Source organism: Homo sapiens, chromosome 2 (assembly GCF_000001405.40).
Source record: "Homo sapiens chromosome 2, GRCh38.p14 Primary Assembly".
NCBI classification, from domain to species: domain Eukaryota; kingdom Metazoa; phylum Chordata; class Mammalia; order Primates; family Hominidae; genus Homo; species Homo sapiens.
Genome location: NC_000002.12, coordinates 21026634 through 21039407, shown reverse-complemented (window position 1 = coordinate 21039407; position 12774 = coordinate 21026634). Strand labels below are relative to the sequence as shown.

Sequence of the window (12774 nt, the reverse complement as noted above, 5' to 3'; positions counted from 1 at the left end):
CTTCAGCCATGGCCTGACACCATACAAAAGAATGACTGTCCAACAAGTGTATGAAAATAAGCTCCAATTCACTGGTAGTCAAGAAATGCGAATTAATGTAACAACAAGATATTTATCTGCTTTTACCCATCATACTGCAAAACTGGAAAACAGTGATAGCACCTGTTGCTGGCAGGCCAGTGAGGAAAAGTGTGCTGTCCTGAGCTGCTGGTGGAAACGAGAGCCATCAGGCAATATCTACTGTAATTTAAAATACTTAATACCCTTTGACACAGATATTTTAGTCTTTGGGACTCTAGCCCATGAAAATAAAAGCAGTAATGTGTGAAGATAGGCACATAAGGATGTTTGTTTTGGTATTGTTTGTGTGGTTTAAAAAAAATCCAGAAAGAGAGAGGGCAAATGCCATCAAATGGGGCAATGTGTGAATAAATTATATTTAGCCATGGAATGGAATGTTCTGCATGCAGCTTTTAAAAAAATCTGTTAGAGCTGTACCAAGTGACTCAGAAGGATTTTTGTGAAGTATAATTAAGTGAGAAAAACAAGATAAAAGTATGCATAATACAATGCCACTTGTATAAAACAAACAATGGCAAAATCTTTGTATGACTCTGTTTGCACTCACCCATGTTTACAGAGGATTGTATGAGTGTGCAGAAACAAATGGAACAACCACTCGGGTGTCCGTATGGGGAGGATGGGCAAAGAGACTGATATGGGTGGAGAACAGAGCAGGGCTGGATGAGCCAAGCAAAAAAAGTTAAAACACAGCTGGACCTGGTGGCTCATGCCTGTAGTCCCAGCACTTTGGGAGGCCGAGGAGGGAGAATCACCTGAGGTCAGGAGTTTGAGACCAGCCTGGCCAACATGGTGAAAACTGTCTCTACTAAAAATACAAAAATTAGCTGGGTGTGATGGCACATGCCAGTAGTCCTAGCTACTCCGGAGGCTGAGGCAGGAGAATCACTTGATCCCAGGAGGTGGAGGTTGCAGTGAGCTGAGGTTGCGCCATTGCACTCCAGCCCGGGCGACCGAGCGAGACTCCATTTCAAAAAAAGAAAAAGAAAAAAGAAAAAAAGAAAAAAAAAGAATCACCAAAACTTATGTATATGTGCATACTTTTTTGAAAATGTATGTCTATGTGTAGCTATATTCTATATTTACAAATAAATGATGTCAGAAGAACAATTGGTTAAAAAAATATGAGAAAAGAAACTTCAGTGCCACCCAGCTTACTTCCAGCAAGTTGTAATGGAGAAGGACATTTCCGTGACCATCCTCTCTCTGGGACAGGTATGAGCTCAAGCTGGCCATTCCAGAAGGGAAGCAGGTTTTCCTTTACCCGGAGAAAGATGAACCTACTTACATCCTGAACATCAAGAGGGGCATCATTTCTGCCCTCCTGGTTCCCCCAGAGACAGAAGAAGCCAAGCAAGTGTTGTTTCTGGTGAGGATTTAGAAAGCTGATAGCAGTGGCCCTTGAAACTCATCTTCATGTGTTAGAGACCAGTCCTACCATATACAAAGCAGATCACTGAGTCAGCTCCATGACTAGTTACATAGGAAGCCCTGGATTGGCGTGAAATACTGGTGCCCGAGGTTCCTCCTGCCCCTTAGGCTCACTGACAGATCATCCCAAGCAGGCTTATCAGGTTGGGTCTAATTTTAAAACAGTCATTGAGGAGTCCTGGCCACCCCACCCCTGCTTTTGTTTGATGCTTCACCTGTGTTTGCTGGGTTATGGTGTACACAGTAAATCCTGTGTGTATTTTAAACACCAAAAATAATGGGATCTGTTGCTGGTCTCTTTTACGAATTTCAGGTTTCACTGTGAGACAGAATTCATTTCACCTCAGTCCCATGAGCACTTTTGTGTGTTCTAATTTCTCTACGACACCATAATGGGAGAAGACACCGATGCAACCTGCGGAGGCCTTTCTGCAGACCCACCTTTAACTGGTTTTCTCTCTCCCAACTTGGGCTGGCCAGGCACTAGCAAGACCACACTCTGCATAGGAAGAAAAAGAAAGTCCCTCCCAAAGCTAGATTCCTTCTGCTTTTTCTTTCACGATCCCCACCCCATCCCTCCCAAGTACCCAAGGATGTTGCCCGTGTTGAATACATGTGGTTGCATCTTCTTCCTCCATAGGATACCGTGTATGGAAACTGCTCCACTCACTTTACCGTCAAGACGAGGAAGGGCAATGTGGCAACAGAAATATCCACTGAAAGAGACCTGGGGCAGTGTGATCGCTTCAAGCCCATCCGCACAGGCATCAGCCCACTTGCTCTCATCAAAGGCATGGTAAGTCCCATGTCAGCACTGTCGTGCACAGCAAGGAGCATCCTCTTATTAATACAATTCCAGAACTTTTGAGCTAGTGGGCACCTTTGAGGACAGCCTGCCCTGGCTGTTTTTTATACAGACTAGAGATAGGACCCTGAGCAGGCACGGGAAGGTCTGCCCAGGCTTCACGGCCTGGGATCAGTTGAGCCAAGGCTTGAGTCAGGCTCCTCCCTCCCAGCCCAGAGCTCTGTCTTTCCTCCTGTCCTTCTGTCACTGGCACCAAACTGCCTCTAATCTCATCACTTGAGAGTAATGACTACTCACCTCTGAGAAGGTTCCGGGGATGGATGTAGGGCAGCAAAACCACCTTCTGTTCTTTTCTGCACAAGGACTCCTTGTGCCAGCTCCAAGCCTCTGGCCTTTGAAGAAGTCCCAAGACCTGTGTTCTCCCCCTCTCCCTCATCCCATGAAGTGGAGTGACTTAGAGTGCTCCAGCTTCTTGTCCTTCCACCCCCAGTACCACCCTGACCAAACATGGCCCCACTGCCACCGGCCTGGAGCACCCTCTCCTCTCTGTTAACTGGGGCCATGGAGCACCATATTACCTGAGCCTGCCTGACCCCTGCAACATCTTCCCTGATATGAGCCCCAGCCTGTCTCAGTGAACATGAATAACTTGGGCAATCACTGTCATGCTGGGCGCTGTTCCTGGTCATTGTCCTTAGGGTTGAAAACAGGGAGTCTGATGACCATGAGTGCCACAGTCAGAAGAGGATAATGCACTGGCTTAGGGGTCTTTTCTGAGCATCTGCTGTTTGCTCAACCCCACTCTGGGCAGCACCAAGGAAGGGACAGTGGCAGATGAACCATGGACCTTCCCCTCAGGATGCTTCCAGTCTAATGCAGGAGCCAGGTCAATAAAGTATACGTGGTATACTCAATAAGGTGATAAGCTGAACAGTGCAGACAAGAAGTCCTGGGCCTGACCAGGAAGGAGAAAGAATTATTCATGTAGCTCAGCGGGCAACATTTCATGGAAGATGTGGAGCAGGAACCCAAAAAATGCAAAGAATATGTAAATGAAAGAGACATGTAAGAATGGGCTTTTGGGCAAAGAAAAGTTACTGAGCAGGTGTGTGAGGGGCTATGTGGTGGGATGGGCATGTGGAGGATACAAAGTTTAGACATTGTCCAGTGAGGGTGGAAAAAGAGGAGTCTACAGCTTGACTCAGCTTTGGGGATGCCGACTTGTTGCACCCCCTGGTCTAAATGTCAAGTACCCAGTTATCTTCTTTCTCTGAGTTTATCTAGTGGTACAGGACTCCTGCTCCCTTCTACCTTGAAGGTAAATGCTTTTAACAGAAGATACAGGGACTGATCAAAATGCTCGTCTCCAATCTCTTTCATAGACCCGCCCCTTGTCAACTCTGATCAGCAGCAGCCAGTCCTGTCAGTACACACTGGACGCTAAGAGGAAGCATGTGGCAGAAGCCATCTGCAAGGAGCAACACCTCTTCCTGCCTTTCTCCTACAAGTAGGTCATGTGATGCACCCCTGATTTGTCATTTAATGGGTCAGTGTGAACTGAACACTTCTCAAGTGCTCTGTTCCAGGCAAACCTGTGCCTGGGAGGGAGGAATGGAGAGGGATAAAATGCCGCCCCTCCCTGTCCCCCTTTTTAAGCGAACAGGCCATTTGGCAGAAAAGTCCTAGGCATGCAAAACAATCCAAGACCAACAAAAGATATCTAAGACCCATTCTTTAAGGGCTGTAGATCCAGAAAACCTGAGGATCACTGCAGGGTACCCTGGTTAGAAAAGGTTTCATGGAAGATTTGGGATACTGACTGGAAACTTGTGTATCCAAATCCACTTTGAAAACTGATAATCAATGAATATATATTGAGTAACTGCCATATTCTTGGCTCTATGTTGTGGAAGATACGAAAGAATTTTGAGACATTGCACTAGTTCCTACCTCTGGCCACTCCAGACTAGTGGAGAGTATAAGGCACGCATGTCTTTTTGATGGGAGGATAACTAGCGTGACCAGGAAGAGGTGGATGTTATTCATTCAGGGCCAACAATGGCTGGATTTACCCATGCTTTGAAAGATGGGCAGGACTTGGGTAGATGCAGAGACAGGGAAAACCTTCAACATGGAAAGAATAGTATGTTCTGGCCATCCGTGACATGGTGTGCTTCCTTGGTTACCAGGAATAAGTATGGGATGGTAGCACAAGTGACACAGACTTTGAAACTTGAAGACACACCAAAGATCAACAGCCGCTTCTTTGGTGAAGGTAAGAGTTTCTGTCCACATAGTTGCTGGAAAATCTACTCAAGATGTGCCTATCATGGCTTAGCCACTTGCTGAGCCCTGTTAAATGTCTGCTGACTAACAAGTGATACAGACACTGGTGTTCTGGCTACCTCTAGTGAGAAAGCAAACTCATTTCATGATGTCAAGTTGCAATGGCATAAAGGAAAAGAAGTTCCCAAAGCTACTTAGGCATTTGTAAATAGAAAACTGGAATCCTAAGTTTAACATGACATATTTGATAGAACTGACATCACCCATCCTGTGATAAGATCCAGAGCTGTCCCAGACGAGGTGGACCAAGTGGGAGAGAACCTTCAGAGTCTGGCCAGATAGTAACCTCAGGAGTCAGTCTTTAGAGGTAGAAGGAACTCTAACAATCTCAAGTCCAACCCTTACCCAGTATTGTATTGTATTTATATCTGTCCAAATTCCTTCTTGTACATTACCTCATTGTCCTTTTTGCTCATAGCAACCTGTGATGTCAGGTGGTAGAGATGTGATTTTATACCTATTCTACAGAGGAGACAGTGACACAGAGAGGCTTAGAGTTTGATGTAGTCAAGGCCGCAGAATATTAGAGGGGGGAAAATAAGTGCCAGGTTGTAATCTAAGCCAGGACTATTCTCATTACACCACATTTCCATGATGACTTTTACCTCTCTTCCTGGCATAGGTCACAGTAGGTGGTGGAGAGGATACAAAAGTGTCTCCCCTCCCCACAAGCTGCTGGTAGACCCAATTAGAAGAAATGGTGATAAGCACCCATGTGCCTGGTCCCAGTTGTAACCATGTCAACAGTAGCACCTCCTCACCAATTATTTCAAGCTAAGGGTAACCTGATGATAGACTCAGACAAGTCTGGATTCCACTTTAGCTCTACCTCTTAGACCCTGAGAGCTCTTGGGAAACCTAAGTTGCTCATCTCTGGGTCACACTTCCTCATCTCTGGGTCTCATCTCTTTGTCTCATCTCTGGGACTCAGAGCTGAGATCCAGGGATGAGCAATTTACATGGCCCAAAAACTCTGTGGGTCTCAGAAGCAGGGCTGAATTTATCATTAAATTGAACAATAATGCCACCCCACAGGGATAGGATGATGAGTCAGTGAAAACAAGTCAATCACCTATGGCAGAGCCAGATCTAGCAGGCATTGAATACAGGATAGTTTCTTTCCCTTTTCCCCTGTGCTGATACTCCACAATTTCCAGCTTCCAGTAGACAAAGATATGGTTGAGATGAAGAAAGCTAGAGTTCCTTTGACACTTTCCATCTTCCAGGTACTAAGAAGATGGGCCTCGCATTTGAGAGCACCAAATCCACATCACCTCCAAAGCAGGCCGAAGCTGTTTTGAAGACTCTCCAGGAACTGAAAAAACTAACCATCTCTGAGCAAAATATCCAGAGAGCTAATCTCTTCAATAAGCTGGTTACTGAGCTGAGAGGCCTCAGTGATGAAGCAGTCACATCTCTCTTGCCACAGCTGATTGAGGTGTCCAGGTATCTAATGGTTACAGCTCAACTTTTTATAAAACTGATGGTAACTGACTGAACTTTCAAACCTTGGCCAAATGGAGAATCTCAGGGACCATTTGGATATCAATCCAGTTAATCAATTAGTCAATCAGTTCATGATTGCTGGATAGAGAACTATCAGCTGCTGCGCTGAGTTCCATGAAACACACACGCGCATACTGTGTTCAAGGCAGCTATGTATTTGTGTGTTAAAACAGAAGGAGAATAGTTCCCACATTTTGATGGGTAACTTTTAATTCCTAGGTCTATTGCAGGTGCTCTCCAGAAGCTTATAGGCTGGTGGAGAGAGAACTCAGACGAAAAATATAATATGATTTCTCTACCCTTCAAGGCACTGGCTTTAAGTGCTATGAAGGTGAGAGAAGGGACTGAGGCCAGGAATGAGACCCAGCTAATGTTGGCCAGGCATATTCTGTGTGCTGGCCAAAGGACTGTGATAACAGTCTTCTTGTTGCTACAGATCCACAGTCCCCTCTTGGAACTTTTCTCGATTGGGCTTCTTCTGTGGGTAATATTCCTAAGGAAAGCATCATGGTTCTGAGCTCCAAGTTGGGTTTTGAAGTTAGATTTGAATAGTGAATGAGGTGATTAAGGGCTCTCCTGGCAGAGGACACACCATGAGCAATATTTTATGTGCCCTGAAGGTGGTCTGTATAACTTTATCCATGTCTTTCTTCTCAGCCCCATCACTTTACAAGCCTTGGTTCAGTGTGGACAGCCTCAGTGCTCCACTCACATCCTCCAGTGGCTGAAACGTGTGCATGCCAACCCCCTTCTGATAGATGTGGTCACCTACCTGGTGGCCCTGATCCCCGAGCCCTCAGCACAGCAGCTGCGAGAGATCTTCAACATGGCGAGGGATCAGCGCAGCCGAGCCACCTTGTATGCGCTGAGCCACGCGGTCAACAAGTGAGTTTCCACACTGTATTTCTCCTCCTAGGAGCAGAGGAACATCTTGCACCTCTGTGCATCTCTGTATTAAAACTGAACCCCTCCTTCCACTTTCAAACTCTGCTCCTTACTCTTGTGTTTTTTCTTGATCATTTTTGGGGTAATGACTTGAAATAAGAAATCAGCAAACACAAATTGAATTTTTAAAAATATTTTCTCTACATTATATTATAAAAGTTTTTGAACATAGCAAAGTTGACAGAATTTCACAGGGAAAACCCCTAGAAAACCAGCTATCTCCTACTATTTAAGTGTTATTATATTTGCTTTATCACATATACATCCATCCATTAATTCATCTTATTTTCTGAAGCATTTCAAAGTAAATTGCAAACATCAACACACTTTCCCCTAAGTATTACAGCTTGCATATTATTAACTTCAGTTCAATATTAGTTAGCAGTTTTTTCCTCTGAATTTTTTTGTTTGTTTGTTTTGTTTTTTTTTGTTGTTGTTGTTTTTTTGAGATGGTCTCACTGTGTCACCCAGGCTGGAGTGCAGTGATGCAGTCACGGCTCACTGAAGCCTCAAATTCCTGGGCTGAAGTGATCCTCCCACCTCAGCCTCCTGAGTAGCTGGGACCACAGGTGCATGCTACCATGCCCTGGCTAATTTTTGTATTCTTGGTAGATACAGGGTTTCACCATGTTGCTCAGGCTAGCAGGTTTTTCCTTTGATGAAATTTTTTGGCTTTTTCTTTTTTACATTTTTATATAAATTTATGTGGAACAAGTGTAATTTTGTTACATGAATAGATTGTGCAGTAGTTAAGTCAGGGCTTTCAGGGTATCCATCACCCAGACAACATATAGTGTACCCACTAAGTAATTTCTCACCATCCATCTCCCTCCACTTCCACACCTTCTGAGTCTCAATTGTCTATCATTCCACACACTATGTCCTTGTGTGCACATTATTTCACTCCCACTTATAAATGACAACACGCAATATTTGTCTTTCTGTGACTGTCCTGTTTCACTTAAGACAATGACCTCCAGTTCCATCCATGTTGCTGCAAATGACATGATTTTATTCTTTTTATGGCCGAATAGTATTTTATTGCCTATACATTTCACATTTTTAATCCAATCGTCCATTGATAGACACTTAGGTTGATTCCATGTCTTTGCTATTGTGAATAGTGCTGTGATAAACATATGGGTGCAGGTTTCCTTTGGATATAATGATTTCTTTTCCTTTAGGTATATACCCAGTAATGGGATTGTTGGATTTATTGGTAGTTCTATTTTTAGTTCTTTGAGAAATCTCTGTATTGTTTTCCATAGTGGTTGTACTTATTTACAATCCCATCAACAGTGATTAACTGTTTCCTTTTCTCTGTATCCTCACCAACAACTGTTATTTTTTGTCTTTTGAATAATGGCCCTCCTGACTCTTGTAAGATGTTATCTCATTGTGGTTTTAATTTACATTTCTCTAATGATTAGTAATGTTATGCATTTTTTCATATGCCTATTGCCATTTGTATGTCTTCTTTTGAAAAAAATGTCTATTCATGTCCTTTGCCTACTTTTTAATGGGATTATTTGGGGGATTTTTTTGTTGAGTTGTTTGAATTGCTTGTACATTCCGGATATTAGTACCCCATTGGATGAATAGTTTGCAAATATTTTCTCCCATTCTGCAGGTTACCACCCTGTTGATTATTTGTTTTACTGTGCAGAAACTTTTTACTTTAATTAAGTTCTATTTGTCTATTTTTTGTTTTTGTTGTCTTTGCCTTTGAGGTCTTATTCACGAATTCTTTGTCTAGGCCAATGTCCAGAGAAGTTTTCCCTAGGTTTTCTTCTTGCATTTTTATAGTCTCAGGTCTTATATTTAAGTCTTTGATCCATCTTGAGTTGATTTTTTTATATGGTGACAGATAGGAGTCCAGTTTTATTCTTCTGCATATGGCAATCCATCTTTCCCAGCACCACTTATTGAAAAGGGTGTCCTTTCCCTAGTGTATGTTTTTGTCAATTTTGTCAAAGATCCGTTGACTGTAAGTATGTGACTTTATTTCTGGGTTCAGTATTCTGTTCCATTGATCTATGTGTCTATTTTTATGCCAGTACCATGCTGTTTAGATTACTATAGCCTTGTTGTATAATCTGAAGTCAGGTAATGTGATGCCTCCAGCTATGTTCTTTTTGCTTAAAATTGCTTCAGCTATTCAGGCTCTTTTTGGATTCCATATGAATTTTATAATTATTTTTTCTAATTCACAAGTTTGGGTTTTAAGACAAACCTAACTGGGGTTACCAAGTCCTGACTCTCTTCTCTTATTCTGTAGCTATCATAAGACAAACCCTACAGGGACCCAGGAGCTGCTGGACATTGCTAATTACCTGATGGAACAGATTCAAGATGACTGCACTGGGGATGAAGATTACACCTATTTGATTCTGCGGGTAATCTCAGTCTTTTATATGACATACATCATTTCAGAAGCACTTTTCCTGGACACCTTTTACTTCCCTCTCCTGCACCCTGATGGGTTCTTGTTTCTTTTCTTCAATGCAGGTCATTGGAAATATGGGCCAAACCATGGAGCAGTTAACTCCAGAACTCAAGTCTTCAATCCTGAAATGTGTCCAAAGTACAAAGCCATCACTGATGATCCAGAAAGCTGCCATCCAGGCTCTGCGGAAAATGGAGCCTAAAGACAAGGTAAAGTCCACAAGAAGAGGTCTGAAAGTGAAAGTTTATTAACAAGGATTTGGAAGGTACTAGGGGAATGAGACTCTAGATTTCATCTACTGACTTTATTCTGCTGTTTCTTTCCTTTCCTTCCTTCCTTCCTTCCTTCCTTCCTCCCTCCCTCCCTTTCTTCTTTCCTTCCTTCCTTCCTTCTTTCGAGATGGAATCTCACTCTATTGCCCAGGCTGGAGTGCAGTGGCATGATCTCGGCTCACTGCAACTTCTGCCTCCTGGGTTCAAGCAATTCTCTCTGCCTCAGCCTCCTGAGTAACTGGGATTACAGGCATGTGCCATTACACCCAGCTAATTTTTGTATTTTTTAGTAGAGATGGAGTTTTGCCATGTTGGCCAGGCTGGTCTTGAGCTCCTGACCTCAGGTGATCCGCCTGCCTCAGCCTTGCAAAGTGCTGGGATTACAGGCGTGAGCCACTGCACCTGGCCTCTACTGTTTTCTAATTGCAAATTTCAACAAGCCTATTGACTTGACTGCCTAGCAGTATGTGACGTGAGAGAAATACTTGACTTTGCTGCTATGTCAACATGCAGAACGTGAGATGTTTTTGCTTCCTACCGTCCACCTACCAGATTGACCATCCCTCTCATCATGGAAAAACATGCTTAATTTTCCCCCAATAAGCTTAGGCTAGGATAGCCAACTTGGCCCCCTCTTAGGTGCAAAGACTCCAGAACTTTGGAAACTACCCTATTTATTAGCCCCAAACTCTTACTACCCCTTCTCATCTTTATCCTCACATTAAAATAACTTACGTTAAAACAACTTGATTTTCACTTAGTGGTGGATCTCCAAACAAATCACAACTTGGCCATAATTTATGTGTTTTAATGGAATTGAATTCAACAGGCATTCCACAGGCTTTTTCTGGGAACCCTTACTTGATAGTGCTCTAGGAAACACTGGCAAGAAGATTCAATACCAGCATTTGAAGAACGATTACAGAGAAATTAGACCTGTGCTTAAGAAAGAGCTAGCAGACAATGCCAGTGTTTGCCAGGCATGTTCTGTGTTCTGACCACAGGACAGTGATAACCATCTCCTCTTTTGACTGCAGGACCAGGAGGTTCTTCTTCAGACTTTCCTTGATGATGCTTCTCCGGGAGATAAGCGACTGGCTGCCTATCTTATGTTGATGAGGAGTCCTTCACAGGCAGATATTAACAAAATTGTCCAAATTCTACCATGGGAACAGAATGAGCAAGTGAAGAACTTTGTGGCTTCCCATATTGCCAATATCTTGAACTCAGAAGAATTGGATATCCAAGAGTAAGTAAGAGCTATTCACCCCATATACCACTGAGGGCCCTGAGCTGGAATTCCAACCCTAGGTTTTGGCATAGCCACTGTCTGCCCTTGCTTCTGAAACAAACACTTGTGCAAATGTGTAGCAGATCTAGACCCAAAGACTTAGGGTCAATGAAATCAAGACATTTTGGTAGTGATTGGAAATCCATATTTACTTGGGGTGCAAGAGTCAAAGGATAATAACATGGTGTGTCAGCTCAAAATATACTTCTTCTTATCTAGTCTGAAAAAGTTAGTGAAAGAAGCTCTGAAAGAATCTCAACTTCCAACTGTCATGGACTTCAGAAAATTCTCTCGGAACTATCAACTCTACAAATCTGTTTCTCTTCCATCACTTGACCCAGCCTCAGCCAAAATAGAAGGGAATCTTATATTTGATCCAAATAACTACCTTCCTAAAGAAAGCATGCTGAAAACTACCCTCACTGCCTTTGGATTTGCTTCAGCTGACCTCATCGAGGTAAGTGTGAAGAGTTTGAGGTTCTCTAGCCCATTTTGTACAGCATCATAAACAGAGAGTCCCTGGGAGCCAGGAGCTACCCAGAGGAAAACTAAGAACCACCAGGCACTTCCTACCATGATTCTGAGGCTTTCTTCTTTCCCTCCTTCCCCGCCTTCCTCTCTCCCCGCTAGGGGTCACCTGAAGCATGACTTCTTAACATTAATAGAAATGCAGGCCTGGCGAGGTGGCTCACTCCTGTAATCCCAGCACTTTGGGAGGCCGAGGCGGGTGGATCATGAGGTCAGGATATCGACACCATCCTGGCTAACACGGTGAAAGCCCATCTCTACTAAAAATACAAAAAATTAGCCGGGCGTGGTGGCAGGCACCTGTAGTCCCAGCTACTTGGGAGGATGAGGCAGGAGAATGGCGTGAACCCAGGAGGCTGAGCTTGCAGTGAGCCGAGAGATTGCGCCACTGCGCTCCAGCCTGGGCGACAGAGCAAGACTCCATCTCAAAAAAAAAAAAAAAAAAAAAAATTGAAATGCAAATGTCTCGTCTTTAAGTCCCAAAGCCAAGGAAGCATATGTGCTGCCTAGTCAGATCTGCTTCAAATCTCAAATCACTCCCAACTCTGAATCCTTTGTTGAATTATTTGTCCTATCTGAACCTTAGCTGCCTCTTCTAGAAAAAAGCAAGTAATAAGGTCAAGATTCTAGTGAGATTTTAATAAAGCAGCTCCTGTGAAATGCTAAGGTCAGCTCCTGGCCTGTGGTATTCAAATACTTGTTTAGATAAATGGACATCAAGAGTGGGGACTACTAGGCTGGCATACAACAAAGAAACCTGATGCCATTTTCTTGTCTGATTTTCTTTCTCAGATTGGCTTGGAAGGAAAAGGCTTTGAGCCAACATTGGAAGCTCTTTTTGGGAAGCAAGGATTTTTCCCAGACAGTGTCAACAAAGCTTTGTACTGGGTTAATGGTCAAGTTCCTGATGGTGTCTCTAAGGTCTTAGTGGACCACTTTGGCTATACCAAAGATGATAAACATGAGCAGGTGTGTATTTGTGAAGTATCTTCTTAAGGAAAGCTTTGGGTCTCAATGCAAAAACAATTCTTTTCTAAGCATGGAAGTCCTCAAAATACTATCTAACTGAAGGGATAACTATGGTTTTTATCAACCAGACCTGCTGGGGTAAGGGCCAGTATCC

At 43.4% G+C, this 12774-nt stretch overlaps 1 protein-coding gene across 1 annotated transcript in view; it reads left to right on the top strand.

Moving 5' to 3' along the window:
• The window catches only part of APOB (apolipoprotein B), a 42645-nt gene that overhangs the window by 4666 nt on the left and 25205 nt on the right, over positions 1–12774 (top strand). The window contains exons 5-15 of the mRNA NM_000384.3: positions 1297–1450; positions 2153–2308; positions 3700–3824; positions 4507–4592; positions 5890–6109; positions 6827–7054; positions 9393–9510; positions 9623–9769; positions 10870–11081; positions 11343–11580; positions 12444–12620. Coding sequence (NP_000375.3) covers positions 1297–1450; positions 2153–2308; positions 3700–3824; positions 4507–4592; positions 5890–6109; positions 6827–7054; positions 9393–9510; positions 9623–9769; positions 10870–11081; positions 11343–11580; positions 12444–12620 — 1861 coding nt within the window. The remainder of the gene's footprint in view (positions 1–1296; positions 1451–2152; positions 2309–3699; positions 3825–4506; positions 4593–5889; positions 6110–6826; positions 7055–9392; positions 9511–9622; positions 9770–10869; positions 11082–11342; positions 11581–12443; positions 12621–12774) is intronic.